Source organism: Homo sapiens, chromosome 22, assembly GCF_000001405.40.
Source record: "Homo sapiens chromosome 22, GRCh38.p14 Primary Assembly".
NCBI classification, from domain to species: Eukaryota; Metazoa; Chordata; class Mammalia; order Primates; family Hominidae; genus Homo; species Homo sapiens.
Genome location: NC_000022.11, coordinates 27911190 through 27929952, shown reverse-complemented (window position 1 = coordinate 27929952; position 18763 = coordinate 27911190). Strand labels below are relative to the sequence as shown.

The window sequence follows — 18763 nt, the reverse complement described above, 5'->3', positions numbered from 1 at the left end:
TATCCTAACATCACAGCTGACCAATGGAAAAAAAAAATAACATAAATGATGACTGGCTAAGGTTTATTCTGAAAATCCAAGGATGGCTCAACATCAGAAAATCTAGTCATGGAATAGATTACACGAACAGAACAAAGCAGAACATGATTATTTCAACACAGAAAAGCATTTCACAAAATTCAATACTGAACAATGACAAAAACTCAAACTAGGAAGAAAACAGCCTTAATCTAATAAAGGGCAGCTACCAAAAACCTGTAGCAAACATACTTAGATTCTGGAAGCATCTTAAAGTCAAGATCAAGATAAGTATGCCAGTCCAGTCCAGCATGGTGGCTCTTACCTATATTCCCAGCACTCTCGGATACCAAGGAGGGAGGATCACTTGAGGCCAGGAGTTTGACCAACCTGGGCAACACAGTGAGACCCCATGTAATAAAAAAAAAAGTTTTAAAATTAGCCAGGTGGGGTGGTACATGCCTGTAGTCCCAGCTACTCGGGAGGCTGAAGTGGGAGGATCCCTTGAGTCCAGGAATTTGAGGCTGGAGTGAGCTACCATCACGCCACTGCACTCTAGCCTAGGTGAAAAAGGGAGATCCTGTCTCTTAAAAAAAATAAATGCCTACTTTTATATGTTCTGCTTGAAACTATACTGGAGGTCATGGTCAATTTAGGAAGGCAGTATAGCAAAGTGGTTAAAAACTCAGGCTCTGGTACCAGACTGGCTGGGTTCACATTCCAGCTAGTTGACTAAATTTGGGTTAATTAGCTGTCTCTCACTTTGCTTAACTGTAAAATAGATAGTAGTACCTACATCATGTGTTTGCTTACAAGATTAAATGTATTAAATCATGCAAAGCACTTAGAATACCCAGCATAAAGTAAATATTGAACAAATGTTAGCAAGAGAATAGAAAATACTATTTTCTCAGTTTTATTTTAAAAATTTTTGAAAGATAGGGTCTCGCTATATTGCCCAGGCTGGTCTCAAACTCCTGGCCTCAAGTGATCCTCCCGCCTTGGCCTCCCAAAATGCTGGGACTACAGGCATGAGAAATTGTACCTGGTTGATAACTGACTTTTTTTCTTTTCTTTTTTTTTGAGACAGAGTCTTACTTCTTTGCCCAGGCTGGAGTGCAATGACATGATCTTGGCTCACTGCAACCTCCACCTCCCGGGTTCAAGCAATTCTCCTGCCACAGCCTCCCCAGTAGCTGGGATTACAGCCATGTGCCACCATGCCTGACTAATTTTTGTATTTTTAGTAGAGACGGGGCTTCACCCTGTTGGCCAGGTTGGTCTCGAACTCCTGACCTCAAGTGATCCACCTGCCTCGGCCTCCCAAAGTGCTGGGCTTACAGGCGTGAGCCACTGTGCTCGGCCAATAACTGACTGTTTTAAAGCAAAATAATGATGTTTTGTGAGATTGTAAAAACAAGAAGAGAGATGAAAGTATACTCTTGTTTCTTACATTTTATGTGAAACAGTTTAATTCCATTTAACCCTTTTCCCATTTGCCCCAAGAATACTTGCTGGCAGCACTTGTAGCTACAGAGTTTACCGTGAGATACCTTTGCCACAAAATATCTCACTTTTATAATTATTGTTGCATTGCTCTAGTAATATTGACTCCCGAAACAAAAGACATCATTCTATTTATAGCATTCTGTTTTTAGTAGTGGTATTTCCATTTATAAAATATAGTAATTCTCAATCACTGAAAATGTCAAATCCTAGAATACATAGCATTCCTATGAGTGATGTTAACATTGTTCTTGAACAGTTGTTGGCCAAAAATTTGATAAATCCAATTTTTCTGAAATAGATGATTCTAATGATTCACACAATTCTGATGTTAGTTCTATTTAGAAATAACTCCAAGAACAGTTTTTATATTTTATTTTCACATTGGAAATCAGATTTGCTTCATCCTCAAAAAGCATGTTTATGTAAAATTAAATGAGTGCTGGCAGTGAGCTGCACCTTTTTTTTTTTTTCTAAGAAAAGGGTTAATGGTAGACTGTGGTAAGTTACAGATACATCTTATAAGCTCTACAGTAAACATAAAAAAATTGGTAGATTTAACCCAACCATTTTATAACTATATTAAATATAAATGGCCTAACATTCTACTTAAAAGGTCCAGTATCAGACTGGATTAAAAAGCAAGGTCCAACTATATGTTGTGTACAAATTACTATCACTACAATGACAAAAAGGTTAAAAGGAATAACAAGATACCTACTACGCAAACACAAATCATAAGAAAGCTGAAACTCTACATTAATATCAGGCAAAATAGGCTTCAGAACAAGGAATATTATCAAGGATAAAGGGAAGTATGCCACAACTATAATGAGGATAATTCATCAAGAAAACATAAAAGTCCTACAGGTGTAGGGATCTACTAACAAAACCTCAAAATACACAAAGCAAGAACAAACTAGATTATAAGTTTCAATAAATTTGAAATGATTAAAATCATACAGGGTATATTCTTGGACTGTAAGCAAATTAAACTGAAACTTTAAAATGTGGAGAATATTGAAATATTTGGTAATTAATATACTTCCAAATAGTCCAAAGTTAAAAAAAAATTAGAAAATACTTTGAACTGAATGACAATGAAAACATAAAAATATAAATGCAGCTAAACCAGAACTTAGAGATGAATTTATATGTTTAAATGCTTATATTTGAGAAGAAAGTCTAAAAGCAATGATATGGGCTTCTATCTTAAAGCTAAAAATAGAAAAAATTAAACCAAAACTAACTAGGCAGAGGTAAGTAATAAAAGGTAAAAATCAATCAAACTGAAAATAAGTAGAGAAAAATCAAAGAACGGGGTAAAAACATCTATCCAATTGGTAAACTTTCTCTACATGGGCTGGTGGGAAAAAAAAGATCAATAAACTGATTTCACCACTTACAGCAACAGTATTAGAGTTCTTAACCAGTGCCATAAAGGAAAAGAATAAAAATCATAAAGATTGGAAAAAAACATGAAACTGTCTTTACTCAGAGACTGTTATATAGAAAATCTTATAAAACACACAAAACCACTCTTGTAACAAGTAAGTCCAGCAAGGGGAATAAACAAGAATCAAGTCTATCTTTACATATTATCAATACTTGAGGAATTTTTAAAAATTACAATTTTTTTTAAAAAACCACAAAATACTTAAGGATAAAGCAAAATATTTGCAAAGCCTATACCCTGTAAGCTACAAAATGCTGCCAAGAGCTGAGAAACATTGAAGATCTAAATAAATGAAGAGATATACCATTTATAAAGATTCAATATTAAGATGTCAATTCTTCCCAATTGTTCTATAGATTGAATGAAAAGTCCCATAAAAATTCCACCAGGGTTCTTTTTTAAACAAATTAATGAAATGAAATCCTAGAAGAGCCAAAACAATTTTGAAAATGTAGAAACTGGAGGAAATAAACCACCCGATTTCAAGACTTACTATATAGCTATAGTAATCAAAGCAGTGTGGTATTACATAAACATATTGACCAATGGAACAGAACACTCTCCTGAAACAGACCCGCATACACACAGTCAACTGATTTTCAACAAATGAGTAAAGGAAATGTCTTTTTAATAATGGGGGCTACAATTGGATATACATATGCAAAAAAAAAAATCAAACTTGATTCTTACCTCACATATACACCAAAACTTATTTGAAATGGCTCACAGACCTAAATGTAAGAGCCAAAACTTTAAAACTTGCAGAAGAAAACATAGTAAAATAAGAATCTTTGTGCCTCTGGCTTAGGCAAAGATTTCTCAGGAAGTACACAGAAAGCATGAACCATAAAACAAAATGAGAAACTAGACTTCATCAGAACTTAAAATTTCTGCTGTTTGAAATATACCACCAAGATGAAAAGGCAAGCAGCTGACTGGGAGGAAATACTCATAACACAAACATCTGAGAAAGGACTTATATGTAGGATATTCAAATAACTCTTCCAACTCAAAAACAGAAAAAGAACAATTTGAAAATGGGCAAGAGTTGAATAGTTACTTGACAAAACATGTACAAATGACCAATAAGTACATGAAAAAGTGCTCAACATCATTAGTTTTCAGAGAACTGCAAATTTAACTACAATGAGATACCACATTTCCACTAGAGTGGCTAAAATGTGTTGATGAGGATGTGGAGTAACTGGACTCTCATGCATTGCTGCTGGGAATGCAAAATGGTACCACCACTTTGTAAATTGTTGGCCACTTCTCCCAAACATACACTTACCTTATAATCCAACAGAAATGAAAACATATATCCACAGGAAGACTTCTATACATCTAGTCATGGCAACTTTATCATGACCAAAAACTGTATAGCACTGAAAAATCCATCACTAGGTAAACGGATAAAAAATTTCTGGTATATCCACACAAAGGAATACCACTGAGCAATGAAAAGGTCTGAATGACACACATTCAGGAATCTCAGAACCATTATGCTAGAAGATACAAAAAGGACTATATGATAAATGATATGAAACTCTACAGAAGTCTGAGTATACCTTTAACAAAACCCTACAGCTGTACACTTCAAATAGGTGCATTTTATATGTAAGTTATAGCTTGGTAAAGTTAACATTTTCTGCATATTAGAGGACATAAGATTTCTCCTCTTTAAAATAGGGACAATAATATCTACATCATATGTTGTTGTGATGCGTAAATGAGTTAGGATTAATTCATATGAAACACTTAAGGCTTGTCTGGCATATAATAAAAAAATGTTAGCAGGATAACTACACAACAAAGTCACTATAACCAGTGGTTCTCAACTTAGGGCAATTGTGCCCCCCAGGAGAAACTAGGCAATGTCTGGAAACACTGCTGACTGTCATGACTGGAGGGGTACTACCGGCACCTGGCCAATAGAGGCCAGGGATGTTGCTGAACATCCCTACAAGGCATAGAACAGCCTACACAGCAAAGAATAATCTGACCCAAAATGTCAATACAACAGAGGTTCAGAAACCCATTTATTAAAGAAAATAAGTGACAGAACAATCCACAGATGGAAAAGAAATATTCCAAGTGCATATAATCAACATGGAATTCAAATCCAGAATGTGTAGGTGTGTGTGTGTGTTGGTGGTGGTGCAAAAGTAATTGCATTTTTGGACCATTAATTTTAAATCATTATAACTAGGCTCAAACACATCTTTATTAATCAAAATAGGAACCATTACAATCAACACTTTTTTGCCAACGAGAAATAAATTTGTTTATTCCTGCAGCATAAACATCCATGCTTCTGGATTCAACAAACTCTTGGAAAGCATTTTTCTGCATCCTGCTGGTGTGGAAGCATTTCACCTGCAAAAAGCTGTCAAGATGCTTCAAGAAGTGAAGCATCCAATGGCTGGCCACTGTGTTCCTCATATTCAAGGCTCTAGTCTGCTTTGCAAAACTTCTTGAATCACAGCTGCCCTGTATGTTCGTTAGTAGTTCCTGGGCCAAATGCGCTGTTCATGTTTCAAGTTATCTCTGCTGCGTTATGACCCATTTTGAACTCAAATAAGAAAACCACTTGAAGTTGCTTTTTGTCTAATATCATTTCCATAGTCTAAAATAAATATAAACAGCAAGTAATAAGTCATTAGCAAAAAAAAAAAAAACAAAGTGAGAAATGCCCATTAAAATGATGTATAACATAACCACATTTAAGAAGGTTTAAGAGGGTATTCCAGTATCAAATGACAAATTTCAACGATGCAAAAACCTCAATTACTTTTGCACCATCCTAATATACCCTACAAATCAAAAAGAAAAGAACAAGACCAACAGGAAAAAGAAGGAAGAATGAGACTAAGACCAGAAAACAAAACATCCTCAACCTGCAAGGAATGCAAAGTGAACACAAGATAAGAGTTTTAAAACCAATAAACTGACAAAAAATAAAAATTCTGACAATATTACATGTTGGTGATGACACAGAAGAACAAGAATCTGTATTATACACAACAGACAAAAGGTAATGATGGCCAATATGTATACACGCATGAATGCACATATACGTTCTTATGCAAGTATTAGAGTAACAAATAATGAATAAACATAGTGGTTACTCTATAGACTGATATCTTCAATTACTGTTCCTGCTTTTTGTAAGCTTTTAAATGGTTCCCATTCACTGAACACTTATGTATCCAGTAAAGTAGATAACATAGGTGCTTTATATACTTCATATTTGTTAGTCCTTAAATCTGTTGCAGATATTAATAGTCCTCTTTTTTCAGATGTGTAAAACTGAGTTTCAGTGTAAACTGAATCTCTGAGAGATTAAGTCATTTTCTCAAGGTTCAGAACAGTAAGTGGCAGAGTAAGTGCAGGATTGAGGCTAGGGTCTTTCTACTCCAAAGCCTAACCCTGTCCGTCCCAGAGTGATACAATATTATAACCTACGCCCTGATATTTAACAAAATTAAAGCATTCTTGGGAATACTTCTAGTTTTCATAGAAAGATCCTCAATCAAGATCATTCTGGAATGTGCAGAAGATAAAAAGAAATGGGATGGCAAAACGCAGAGAAAGCAAGGCAAATGAAAGCTACAAACCTCTCCCTTAGATAAATGTACACATGAGCCGGGAGCGGTGGCTCACACCTGTAACCCCAGCACTTCGGGAGGCCAAGGCGGCTGGATTACCTGAGGTCGGGCGTTCAAGATCAGCCTGACCAACATGGTGAAACCTCGCCTCCACCAAATACAAAAGAAATTTAGCCGGGCGTGATGGCAGGTGCCTGTAATCCCAGTTACTCGGGAGGCTGAGGCAGGAGAACAGCTTGAACTCGGGAGGCGGAGGTTGCAGTAAGCCGAGATCGTGCCATTGCACTCCAGCCTGGGCAACAAGAGCAAAACTCCAGTCTCAAAAAAAAAAAAAAAAAAAGAAAGAAAAAAGAAAAAACAGGGCCGGGCGCGGTGGCTCACACCTGTAATTCCAGCACTTTGGGAGGCCAAGGCAGGCGGATCACGAGGTCAGGAGATTGAGACCATCCTGGCTAACATGGTGAAACCCCGTCTCTACTAAAAACACAAAAAATTAGCCGGGCATGGTGGCGGGCACCTGTAGTCCCAGCTACTCGGGAGGCTGAGGCAGGAGAATGGTGTGAACCCAGGAGGCGGAGCTTGCAGTGAGCTGAGGTGGTGCCACTGCACTCCAGGCTGGGCAACAGAGCGAAACTCCATCTCAAAAAAAAGTAAGAAAAATAAATGTACACGGTACACAGACATGAAATTATGTATATAATTTCAGTGGTTCACAAATTCCCTGGGAGCCCCACCAACAGGCTGTTCTTCAGATTCCAGGTTAAGAACAGCTACTTTAGGGGCTAAATTCAATTATAATATTTAAGTGACCAAATTTCTTTGACCAGAGTTATGCTATCAGCTAGTGCATAAGCATTTCACACACACTGCTCGCGTTCAGAAATCTTTGTTTGCCTCAGTAAAATTTACCATCATTCTTACTGTAATGAGCTCTTTGCTCTAGAAGTACATACAAGGGAAGTAATGAGATTGGTAGACATATGACACTGGTAGAATTAGTTTGAACATCTGTGTAAAGGCTACCTTTGAGAGTTCGAAGATAGAACAAGGAACATCACACTAAAAGAAAAAAAAAGAGGTTGGCTCCTTTTTGTATCTATAGACAATTACTGGTAAAACTTACAACCCACTTCATACACTATTTGCAAAACTGCACCATACGGTTCAACATCTTCAGCTGTCATACCAGAAAATGTCACACGACAGGGACGTTAATCCATTAGTCTATTTTTTTCACTTGTATTTGTCTTTTTCTTTATATGTCCTTCTTTCTCATTTTGGGCGTTGGTTCATGTCTTTCCTATTCTCTAGTTCCACTCATAATTCTTTCATTCTGCCATTTTTATCCTGTAAATAGATGTAATGTAGGATTATTTTATTATATAGATTTCATGTTTTCCAGCAACCTAATCTTTCCGTCAATAAATACATCTAAACCGGTTACTTTATCTATCCTTGTTTCTCAATTGAGTATTTTAATATGAATCTTTTGATTGTGACAAAGATACACTCCCAACCAAACTTTAGTCAAGCCTAGGCTTATCTGTGCAACAGTTAAAAAATCTAGTTTTAACAAGAACCTCCCCAATCCTTGGTATCTGTTCTTCATCCTCCACCATTCCCCAGATGATGTCTGATCACGTCTTCAGCAAGAATTATGTTAGGTTACTTAAGCCAGAATCTCCCTGATGTATATCCTCTTAATAATTTTCCATCCACTGATCGCCCTACCCCTAACTATCTTGCTCCTTGGCTATAAATTCTTACTTGCCCATGCTATGTTCAGAGTTGAGCCCAATCTCTTTCCCCCACTACAAAATCCCATTACAGTGGTCCGTATACTTATTTCGAAGGTCCTGAATAAAGTCTGCCTTACTATACTTGAACAAGTATCATCATCAAATAATTTTTTTAAACAATAGGAAAGCGAGGCACCGTCTATATTGTATACGGGTTTGGAGGTATGCTCCATCCAGCATACTGTCTCGTTTATTTCGCAAACATCTGAGTACTATCTATGAGAAGAATTGTGTTATGCAGACAAAAGAACTAGTGAACACTTGTGGGAGACTTCAAAAATTAGAGAAATTACGTAAAATGTCCTCATGTTTCTTAATGATAAAGCATGTCAACCATAAATTTATCTGCAACGTTTAAAAAGTTATATTTTTCAACAAGCATAACATGTGGGGAGAGATTATAACATACAATGACTCCATACCACATAAATTTGGCAATTAATTTTAATATTGCCTCCTTAGACTTTAAAGAACACTCCCTAAGCATACAGATTTATAGTACTCAATCTCTTAATTTTTCTAAATATCTTCTAGAATTTGACTTTAGTCTCCTTTCCATAATTGAGAATAATTATTTGTCATAAAGATGGTCTGCACGCCCCAACTTCACTTTCATCTAGGAAATTAGTGAAATAAATGGACCAGACCTTGAAGTTTTTAAAATCTGGACTTGAAACCTGGCTCTGCAAACAAGCTAGTACAAGTCACTTAACATAGCTCCCTGAATCTCATTTTATTCCCCCTCCTAAAACATGCTAAAATACATCTCATAATGTTCTAAGGGTGAAATGAGATAAAATATCTCCATTACTTAGCACAGTACTTGGCATAAAATCCAATGTCCAATCAACAAAGCGGATTCTAAGCTTCTCAACTCTTGCAAGAAAGAGCGTGTATTTCCTTAAATCTCTGCCCTCACAATAACTAGCACTAGTCACACATAAGAGAAACTCGGTGACTCCAGGGACTGCCTTAGGAGAAAGTTTCTGGAAGTTCTGACATTCCAGAAACTTTCTCCTAAGGCAGTCCCTGGGAGTCACTGAGTCAGTCCATTTCCGTTATTTTTTTGGAGGCAGCCCTAACTCCACAGATGTATTCCACTATCAGATACACCAGATGTTTATACAAAAATGTTTTCGTGATATTTTAATCGTCTTAATAGCCTTTCAACAGGTTCTCATGGTTCTTAGAAGACAAATTCTTTACTATGGCCTAGTAATCCAGTTGGTCCCAGCTCATTTCCCACCCTCACTTAGGATGTTCTGGCCACATCTGCCCTCTAGCTGATCCTTGAACACCCTAGGCTTACTCCATCCTCGGGTCATATTTCCCTCCAACTGGAATGCCCCTCTCACATCCTAACAGGCTAGGCTCAAACACCGCCTCCTAAGACAGCCCTTGTCTTGAGTCCTCTGCTTCTCCCAGTACTCCACTGTATTCATAGCATAGCACTTCCCCACCACCCCAAATTCTCCCTGCTTTCTTTCCAAGTGAGTTGTCTCCTCTAGACTGTGAGCTTCTTGAGAACAGGGACTGTGTCTGCTTCTAGATGCATCCCCACTGCCTAGAACCGTGTCTGACACAGAGCAAGCCAGCGACCTCCGGGCTGCGGCTTTGAGGCCCACGGCGCTTTCGGTGTAACTGCGCGAACCAACTCCTGAACAGCCCGCTTTCCTGGGTCTCGAGGCCAAGGGCCTCTTTTCTCCCAGAGGGCCTCCGTCGGGAGTGCTGGCCGCTCATCCTGCCGAGTCACAGGTGAGGTTTAGGATTCTCCGCCGCGGTGGACCTCCACGAGACCGCGAAGCAGGTGAACGTCCTCCCGCGGAACCTGAGCTGCCAAGGGCTGGGGAGGGGAACAGAAGCTGGCGTCGGCTGCCTCCAGAACCTGTCAGGAGTCTTTTATGTGGACTATGGAGGTGAGGTGTCGGTCAAGGAGGTGGGCCCTGACTCGGAGCAGTGAGAGAGAGCAGAAAACCAGTCACCGCAAAACGGCTTCCAAAGAACCAACTGGAAAACTCACCGGAAAGCGTAGGCTGCCCAGACGCCCCGAGGGACCAAAGCTGAAGGGAGGAGCCCTCGTAAGCAGACAAGAGTGCGCGCGTCGAGCTTGCGCAGCCGCAGTAGAAGCCGCACGCTCTTCGGCAGGCTGCGCAACCGCAGTGGAGGCCTCGTGTGCCCGGGGTGGGGCACGAAACTGGGCGGAGCTAGGCCCCCTCGCGCGCTGACGCGACTGGTCGCGGCGGAAGGGTGTAAGCACGCAGGCGCGATGGTGGCTCGGGGGGGCAGGGAGGCGGGGCCGCGCAGGCGCTGTGAGAGGCGGTAGCGGCGGCGGCGGCGGTGGTATCGGCGGCAGCTGTGAGGGGGTTCCGGGAAGATGGTGCTGATCAAGGAATTGTGAGTGGGTCTGTGGGCGCGAGCGAGGCCGTGGGACGGCAGTGATGGGAGATTTGTTGATGGAGAAGTGGTAGGATATTCCTAAATCGGAGTCAGCCCTGTGTCAGCCCCTCCCTGCGGGCGCCCCCTCCCTCCCCCGGCCCCTTCGAAGCCCCTCAGCGAGTGCGCCCCTCGGCCCTCCAGGCATTGCCGTGGTAACACGCCCTCTCCCTTCCCCGGGGCGAAGGCGGCTGGGTCCCGGCCCGAGCGCATGGCTCGGGAAGGCGCGGCCGGGAGTTTCCGCTGGGACCCGCCTTCTCCCCAACCCCCCACCCCCAGGCTGGGTCTGGGCCCACCCCCAGGCCCGCCGGTGGGAAGGAGCCGCAGTCCGAGGGTGGGAGAGACACGTTGGTTCTGACTGTGATTTGTCGTCCGGGGTGGAGTCCCCTGGTAACCAGCGGGAGATGGGCTTGCCGGTTGAAGGCAGCCCTCGTGTCAGGACTCGCGGTGGGACGCTGGCGCCTTGAAGTTCGTGGTGGAGCCGGGATTCCGGAAAGCCTCCGCTCTCCTGGGCAGCTCCGCTGACTTGACGGGAGAGCCTTTTCTCTTTTTGGTTTCCGCATGTTTTAAGATGAGGTGACATCCCGGGCCCCACCTACTTTCTTAGAAGTTAACACGTGCTCTGTCAAATGGAGGGATTTCGAGGTGCATCCGACTGGCCAAGTGATTTTGTTGAAAAGTCACGGCTTTTCCTACTGGCAAGGACTGTAAACATTACGGAAATCTGCTTGCCTCTGAATGTTCGTCTGTCACAGCTGGTTCGTGTCGTCAGCATCCTTTGGGCAGCTAGGGAGGTCGAGTATGGCCCATTCGTTGGTTTTCAAATTCTTCATTTTAAATTCTTAGAAATATTTTTGGCTTAATTTAGCTTTTTTCAGACACCTTATTTTTAGTGTTCTTAAACCTCCTTTAAAAAGTCACTGATGCACTTCTCTGAGACTTAATACCTCCCAAAGACTCCCTGTCTCACCCAGAATAAAAGTCAAAGCCTCTGCAACAGCTACAAGGCTTTACACTTTTTTTTCCTGCCCTGATCTCATTTACTACCTTTTCCTTGCCCATTCCATCTTCGCAAGCTTCCTTGCTGTTCCTCTGCTACTCTAGAATAAGTTCAGTTCAAGACCTTTCCACCTGCTTTTGTTCCCTTTGCTTGAAGTGTTCTTCCCTTGGCACACTAACTCACCTTCTTCCAGGTCTTTGCTCAGACGTCACCTTCTCAGGGAATCCCTTTCTGAAGACCTAATTGTAGTTCCCACTATTTGGGGTGGTATTTGTCTTCCCTGCTTTATCGGTCTCCATAGTACTTATCACCATCCAACATGCCAATACAATTTATTATTATTATTTTTCTCCTACTAGTTGTGTTCTCTTTTTACATGTAAGGGCCATGAGTTTGTTTTGCTCACTCTCATATCCCCAGTTTTTAGAATAGTCCCTCGCATGTAATAGGTGCTCAGTAAATATTTGTTAATGAATTGATGAAAAATGATAACTTTGGTCAGTGACAGGGATTTTGAGAAGAGACATTTTGCCTTTTTTTGGTAGAGTGAAAATTCTCAATTAAAGCTTATTTATAGTACTGAATATTGGGTTTATATAAAACTTTTCTTCCAAGTCGTTTATACAGTGTATCAAACAAGTGTTCATTACTCTGACTTCTAGATGATGTGGGTAGATGGGTGGCAGACACTAAAACAAATGGAGAAAATAAGAAGGAAATTGACTTGGACCAAGTTACACAGCAAGTGAGTTGCAGAACTGATTTTAAATAGATCCAGTCATTTTTCTTTCATTGGAGTATTTCCTCCCTCCAAAAGTGTTACAGACACACAGTATTCAGTAGATCCCTTTGACAGTATGTGAGTAGTATGAAGCTAACTCTTGGAAAGCAGTTCCTATTGGGAATTTGCGCACTGTGCTTTTTGCAAACATTTGCTTTCATTATGAAGATTTAAATGTACCCAGATAATGAATGTTGACACGTGCCCAAAGTCTAATTATTTTTCCCAAAGAGTTATAAATTAAGTTTCTTGATGTTAACTCTTCATGTGTATCTCCCCTAGATTTTTTTTCCTCCTAGACTTTTTGAAGGTAGAAGCTGTTTCTTAAGTAATGTCGGTATCTAGCACAGCATCTAGGCCTAACATGCTCTAAAGAATTCAGTGTTGTTCAATGAAAAATTGATACTTCTTACTCTCAAGTCAACTTTCTAAAATTCTTGTTGGTTAGGAGCAATGAATAGCTTATTCCTATGTGAAGATATTGGTAACTAAAATACTTTGGCAAATGTTTGTTGTCTTATAAAATTCTTTTTTATTTTTATGTTTTTTTTTTGAGGCGGAGTCTCTGTTGCCCAGGCTGGAGTGCAGTGGCATGATCTCTGCTCACTGCAACCTCCGCCTCCCAGGTTCAAGCGATTTTCCTGCCTCAGCCTCCCAAGTAGCTGGGACTACAGGCGCACGCCACCATGACCGGCTAAATTTTTTGTATTTTTAGTAGAGACAGGGTTTCACCCTGCTGGCCAGGCTGGTCTGGAACTCATGACCTCAGGTGATCCGCCCACTAAGTGCTGGGATTACAGGTGTGAGTCACCGCACCTGGCCCTCTATTTATTTTTTTATAAGAATTAAAATGTTAGAAATGACTTTCGAGGTGGGCTGTTTCCCTTCAAGTTATTATTTAAGCAGTAGATGAAGTTACCATTAATGTAAAGTCCTGGTTTTAAAGAACTAGTTACTGATTCCATTTGGAAATTATTTTTATGAGGATTTTCAGACATTTGAACATTTTCAACTGGCACTGAAAGTTGAATACTGCTTTTAGAATAACAACAGAAAATCAAAGCCTGTATGTTCCTTTTCCCTTTTACTTGTTAAGCAAATCTTGAAGAAGTTACTTGACTCATTGTTCTGAATGTCTTAATCAGTCACTTTAATTTTTTGAAAGAATTTCCTTGAAAGTGTTCTTAAATAAAAATAGGGATCTTCCTGTTAGTGAGTGTAAAATTACTCAGCAGTGATTCTTTGGTTTTGTGAAACTTAAGGGAAGACTAACTCTTCTTTCTCTATCCCTTCCTTCCATTCCCTCTGCAGTCCATCATCTTGGTTCAGGCCTTTGTGACAGTTCTTGCCTAGCCTCCCAAAAGATAGCTTTCCCCACTTCTCCTGCTTGTCAGTGTTTTCAACCACCTGCAGATGACTTCTTCAGGTCAGCAGTAGTTGTCACTTACCTCTTGGACCAACCTTTTGGGATTCCTTATTGCCTGATGAATTTAATGGATTTCTTACCATAGTATTCCAGGTCCTGATAATCTGCTCCCAACCTATAGCTTTCTAGTCTTCCTCTCCCTCATTTTATGCTCTGGGACAGTGAGCAAGTTAGTGTATACTGAGAAGAGAAATGATTCGGAATTTTTAGGTATAGAAGGACTTACAAAAAGTTTATTCTTGATGGAGAGTAGAAATTAGTGACCATTGTGGATTTGAGAGTGTTCATTGTTTTTGAATCACCGTTACCAGAAAGACAAAGAGTGGCGAGTAACTCAGTAGTCAAAGGGGAGGGAGTAACAGACTTGTGCATGTTGGAGATTGAGGTAATGTGAACATTCAGACATAGATGTTTGAGGAGAGTAGGGAGAAAGGAGTAGATGGAAAGTGTAGCTGGAATGCAAACTAGATATAATCTGGGTTTTATTACTCTCTTCATACTTACGAATAAGAAAGACTATTAAAAAAGAATGCCTAGGCCAAAAAGATTGTCACTAATACAAACAATAAGCTAAATGACTCTTACTGCAAGAAAAAAAGAAAAAGAAATTATAAGCTGAAAAGAAATTGGAATGAGGAAAACTATTGAAAATTTTCCATAAAATGACAGATAAGATTAGGAAAGTATGAGAAGGATCGTATACCCCCATCCCACAAAAAAGGAAGTTGCTGTCTTGGAACCAACTATAATTATGAGACCATTGATATACAGGGATGTTCTTGGTTTTCAGGATTTATGGTGGAAATAAATTAAGGACTCTCCTTATAAAATCTAGAGATAAGATGCAATATTTTGATAAAACAATATACCATGATACTGTTTTGGATTTTATCTTTTAAGACTGCTTGCAATGGAGCTATAATGACATCTTTTTGGTATATACAATAAGAAACTCTTGGACAGGATGAAACACATGTCAACCTTATATTGTATATATGCTGGAAGGGATTATTATAAGGTTCAAGTAGTTTCCATAGTAAAATTTTTCTTACTAATTCTACACGACTCCTTATTTTTCTCTTAGTAAACTTGAGGAATAATTGAATAGTGGGGGAACAGTTTCTGGAAGCGTTTATTCAATGAGATTCAAGACACGTATTCTGTAAGAAGCATCATAAAAACAAAATGCACAGTATATAGGTGGAGAATGAAACCATACTAAAAATTTAGTCAGGGCAACCTGACCAGACAATCTGCAAATAATACGTTCTGTACCCTGCAATTTTCAATGTTGAGTTTTCTCTTTTTTCTTTACTCACAAGAATCTCTGCAGCTGCTGTTTGGGGTCCTGGGAACACTAAATGCAAATGATCATTGAGACCCAGGAATGATAGTTTTAGTTCCCCAATTATGGTGTAGGCATTGCAAAGACCCTCTTCCATAAATGACACCCTTGTATTTTTTTGATTTAAGAGACCTGTCTCTGTTATCATTGGATTTAAGGTAAAACCTCTTCAGAGATCTGTGTTTAAAGCTATTTCATATGTAATATATATATTTTTTCTTTTGTCTTTTTAGCCGTGTGGTTTTGCCATGTTCTGTTCAGGAGGTGAGTTTTTCTTGCTTCTGCATCATTTTATTGGTATATGTACTGTACTTTGATATGTTACTCTAAACTCACATTTTCGTAGTATTGATTTACCTTTTCATTCCACCTTATGTGACAAAATTAATTATATGAATGATAATTGCAAAGAATTGCAAAATGAATTAAATGAATGATAATGAATTTCTTGCTACACTGCCTTGTTTTGGAAGAGTCTAAAGAATGTAGTTTAACCTCCTGTCTAGTGCAGGAATTCTTTCTCCAACATCCCAGAGAAATGAGGCTCCAGCCTCAACTTAAGTACTTTAAGGTTAAGTAGCTTGCTGCTTAGAGAAGCAGCCTACTTTACTGTTGGACATTTTAAACATTTGTGTTTGAACCAAAATCTGCTTTTCCTATAATGCTTGACTCTTGTTTACAGTTTATCCCATTTGAGCAATGGGAAATAAGCCTGTTCTGTCTTGTAGTGGTTAATCCTTCAGGTTTTCTGATGGCAGCTCTCCCCTCCAGCCAACCCCATCCCCCACAAGCACTTTTATTTCATCTTAGAAAGTCTCAAGGTTAAACATTCCCAGCACATTCACTTGGCTTAATACAGCATGATATGTGGACTTGCTACCAGCTGGTCCTGTTACTATATGTGTTGTAATTGTTGATCTGAACTGAAAACAGTATTCCAGACATGGTATGAACAGCACACAACTGTAAGAGCTTATTGTTTTCCTCAGTCTGGACATGATACAGAAATATATCACCTATTCAGAACTTGCATGTCCTGCAGTTATAGCCATGTGTATTGTAGACAAGAATGAAGATAAGAGCAGAAACAGCTTCTGAGAAATCAAGATATATATAGCAAAACCCATAAAACCCTCTAGGCTCTTCTGTAACTTGCACACAGTTCCCATTTGCTCAGTTATCTGGTTTTCCTAGAGCTGACAGTAGATTAGAAGCAGTGACTTGGAAGTGGGACAAAACAAACTGATAACCTAAGAAGTGACAGCTGACAGAAGACAGAAAGAAATGCAGGAAGTGAAAAAGAGTAGCTGTCTGGCACTGTTTAGTGTAGACTTGAACACAGTTGTTTATATCTCAGGAGGATTCACTGTATTAAAACACTCCAGAGAAGCTAGGCACCCTGTTCTCTATTTGCACAATTGATTGTTTGAAGTTGAATGTGGAAATTGACACTTGTTTCTGTTAGACTTTTTCTTTTGATTTCAGCTGGTTGAATCAGCTTGTCGAAATCTTTTTGAGTCTTGGTATTGTCACTGAAAATACTGTTCTCGGCTTTTTGTTATACTCCCCCCCCCACCTTTTTTTTTTTTTTTTTTTTGGAGATGGAGTCTTGCTCTATCGCCCAGGCTGGAGTACAGTATTGCGATCTCAGCTCTCTGCAACCTCCGCCTCCTGGGTTCAAGCAATTCTCCGTGCCTCAGCCTCCCTAGTAGCTGGGATTACAGGCACCCGCCACCGCACCTGGCTAATTTTTGTATATTTATTAGAGACCGGGTTTCACCATATTGGTCAGGCTGGTCTCGAACTCCTGACCTCAAGTGATCCACCTGCCTCAGCCTCCCAAAGCCTTGGGATTACAAGCATGAGCCACTGTGCCAGGCCTGTATGCACATTTTTAAAACATGCCTTCTGTGTCTATTTCTTATTCTTTTTTTTTTTAATTTTTTATTCTTAAAAAAGGAGAATGAGAGAAAACTAAGTAGCATGCCATGAAATGTCAGTCCATTAACGTTTTTTTGGATACAGTTCATTTGAATATTGTTATTGTGTGTTCCTGACCAAAATGAAATTTATCTTTTGACCTAGACTCATTTTAGTCCTGTTTTAGAATATGATAGTGTTTAAAAGTACATGTTGAAGGTATTTAAGGATTGTGGCATTATTAGACTAACCCTAGTGTTGTATCATGGAAAGCCAAAAGGAGAAATGCAGTCCTGTCTGCAGGCCCTACAGAAATTTATTTTGGGAGCATTTAAGAAATATGTTTGGTTTCAACTTCCCAAACACTTCCAAATTGAGTAAGAGTGTGTGTGTGGGTGTGTTTTTAAATTTAACTAATAGGCAAGATAGCATCATATCTCCATGTGATTTGTAGATATGAATGTTTACTGAGCTTAAACTACCTGTTGTTTTGGTCCCTCACATAAAATGTTAATTTTGAAATTACAAGTTCTTAGAGGTAGATTTTTGTAGTTTTTCTTTGAAAATATGCTTATAAAGAAGAAATACACTTCTTCAAGCTGTTTTCATTAGAAGGAAGAAATTTAGCCAAATTTGAAGTGATGGAAGATAGTGCCACAGTTGGGTCACTGTAACAAATTAGAACACGAGAACTTTTTCCAACATTTGTTGGAACTAGCGACTCCAGATTGGCGTAGAAAATACAGTTGACTTACAGGTATTGATGGAGGCCTCTGAGATTTCTGATTCACGTTAAATGAAATAGAAGCTACTGTCAGCAATTTCCTACCTTTTATGGTAATATGTATACATTCATATTACTTTAAAAACAGTTTCTGTTTGTTCTCTTTACTTGAGGACTCACAATGAACCATTTCTGATCTTGGGCCCCCAATACTGTTTCTGGTTAGCTGAAGAAGGACCAAATTGAGTGTATCATAAATAAGTCATAAGTTAAAAATGACCCCAGAAGTCTACTAAGATTTGGACTATCTATTATGTTTCTTTGGATCTCCAGGCTTTTGTTATTACAGTTTACATCCCTCCCCTTTATCATTAAGAGCAATATGCTGGTTGCTCAGCTTTAGTTGGCAAAGTGCCAGTTGTATTTCTGCCATACCTTTCTTGGAATTTTGTGAAGTTAAATGAGAAATAATAGAGGTGAAAATGCTTTGTAAAGTACAAATATATATTGTTCAAAAGTTAAACCAAGTTTCGAGACATTTTCTTGATAAATGGGTAGTGTAAAGGCACCAGAGTATTTGTAACTGGCAAATTTTTTGAATAATGAAAGTTTATAAAATACAGGTTTTTAAAACTGTATAATAATCTGTGGTTTGTCTTCCTAAACGTATTAATTTCTAATTTGAGTTGTGTTTTCATATTGAACACAGTTGTGCTGAATGGTTTGGATATGCTTTTCTATATCATC

The 18763-nt window shown here is 39.3% G+C and overlaps 1 protein-coding gene, 1 long non-coding RNA gene and 2 other non-coding genes across 10 annotated transcripts in view, besides 5 other annotated features; 2 read left to right on the top strand and 2 right to left on the bottom strand.

Moving 5' to 3' along the window:
- Nucleotides 1-10577, bottom strand: part of TTC28-AS1 (TTC28 antisense RNA 1) — an 83304-nt gene extending 72727 nt beyond the window's left edge. The window contains exons 1-3 of one of the 2 annotated variants that reach the window (NR_026962.1): nt 10408-10577; nt 7775-7935; nt 4990-5606 (exon numbers count right to left, since the gene is read on the bottom strand). This is a non-coding gene — a long non-coding RNA (TTC28 antisense RNA 1). Of the gene's footprint in view, nt 1-4989; nt 5607-7774; nt 7936-10407 lie in introns of those variants that run through there. The other variant, NR_026963.1, reaches the window with a different exon arrangement.
- On the top strand, nt 9341-9428 carry MIR3199-1 (microRNA 3199-1). Its single transcript, NR_036169.1, has one exon. It is a non-coding gene; the product is annotated as a microRNA 3199-1 (primary transcript).
- MIR3199-2 (microRNA 3199-2) lies at nt 9342-9427 on the bottom strand. Its single transcript, NR_036170.1, has one exon. It is a non-coding gene; the product is annotated as a microRNA 3199-2 (primary transcript).
- Nucleotides 9527-10511: an enhancer, noted in NCBI's record as "H3K27ac-H3K4me1 hESC enhancer chr22:28315430-28316414 (GRCh37/hg19 assembly coordinates)". NCBI's record gives its function as "activates a minimal SCP1, AML or CMV promoter by ChIP-STARR-seq in primed H9 embryonic stem cells {active_cell/tissue: H9 hESC(primed)}" and the evidence as "EXISTENCE:reporter gene assay evidence [ECO:0000049][PMID:30033119]".
- Nucleotides 10177-10356: an enhancer, noted in NCBI's record as "active region_18803". NCBI's record gives its function as "activates an Ori minimal core promoter by ATAC-STARR-seq in GM12878 lymphoblastoid cells {active_cell/tissue: GM12878}" and the evidence as "EXISTENCE:reporter gene assay evidence [ECO:0000049][PMID:35858748]".
- Nucleotides 10512-11497: an enhancer, noted in NCBI's record as "H3K27ac-H3K4me1 hESC enhancer chr22:28314444-28315429 (GRCh37/hg19 assembly coordinates)". NCBI's record gives its function as "activates a minimal SCP1, AML or CMV promoter by ChIP-STARR-seq in naive H9 embryonic stem cells {active_cell/tissue: H9 hESC(naive)}" and the evidence as "EXISTENCE:reporter gene assay evidence [ECO:0000049][PMID:30033119]".
- Nucleotides 10667-10736: a silencer, noted in NCBI's record as "silent region_13578". NCBI's record gives its function as "represses an Ori minimal core promoter by ATAC-STARR-seq in GM12878 lymphoblastoid cells {active_cell/tissue: GM12878}" and the evidence as "EXISTENCE:reporter gene assay evidence [ECO:0000049][PMID:35858748]".
- Nucleotides 10697-18763, top strand: part of PITPNB (phosphatidylinositol transfer protein beta) — a 67588-nt gene continuing 59521 nt past the window's right edge. For 3 of the 6 annotated variants that reach the window (XM_011530052.3, NM_001284278.2, XM_017028707.2), the window contains exons 1-2: nt 10697-10851; nt 15606-15636. In XM_011530052.3, coding sequence (XP_011528354.1) covers nt 10826-10851; nt 15606-15636 — 57 coding nt within the window. In that variant the 5' untranslated portion in view covers nt 10697-10825. Of the gene's footprint in view, nt 10852-11543; nt 11579-15605; nt 15637-18763 lie in introns of those variants that run through there. The other 3 variants (NM_001284277.2, NM_012399.5, XM_047441269.1) reach the window with 2 other exon arrangements.
- Nucleotides 10927-11246: a silencer, noted in NCBI's record as "silent region_13577". NCBI's record gives its function as "represses an Ori minimal core promoter by ATAC-STARR-seq in GM12878 lymphoblastoid cells {active_cell/tissue: GM12878}" and the evidence as "EXISTENCE:reporter gene assay evidence [ECO:0000049][PMID:35858748]".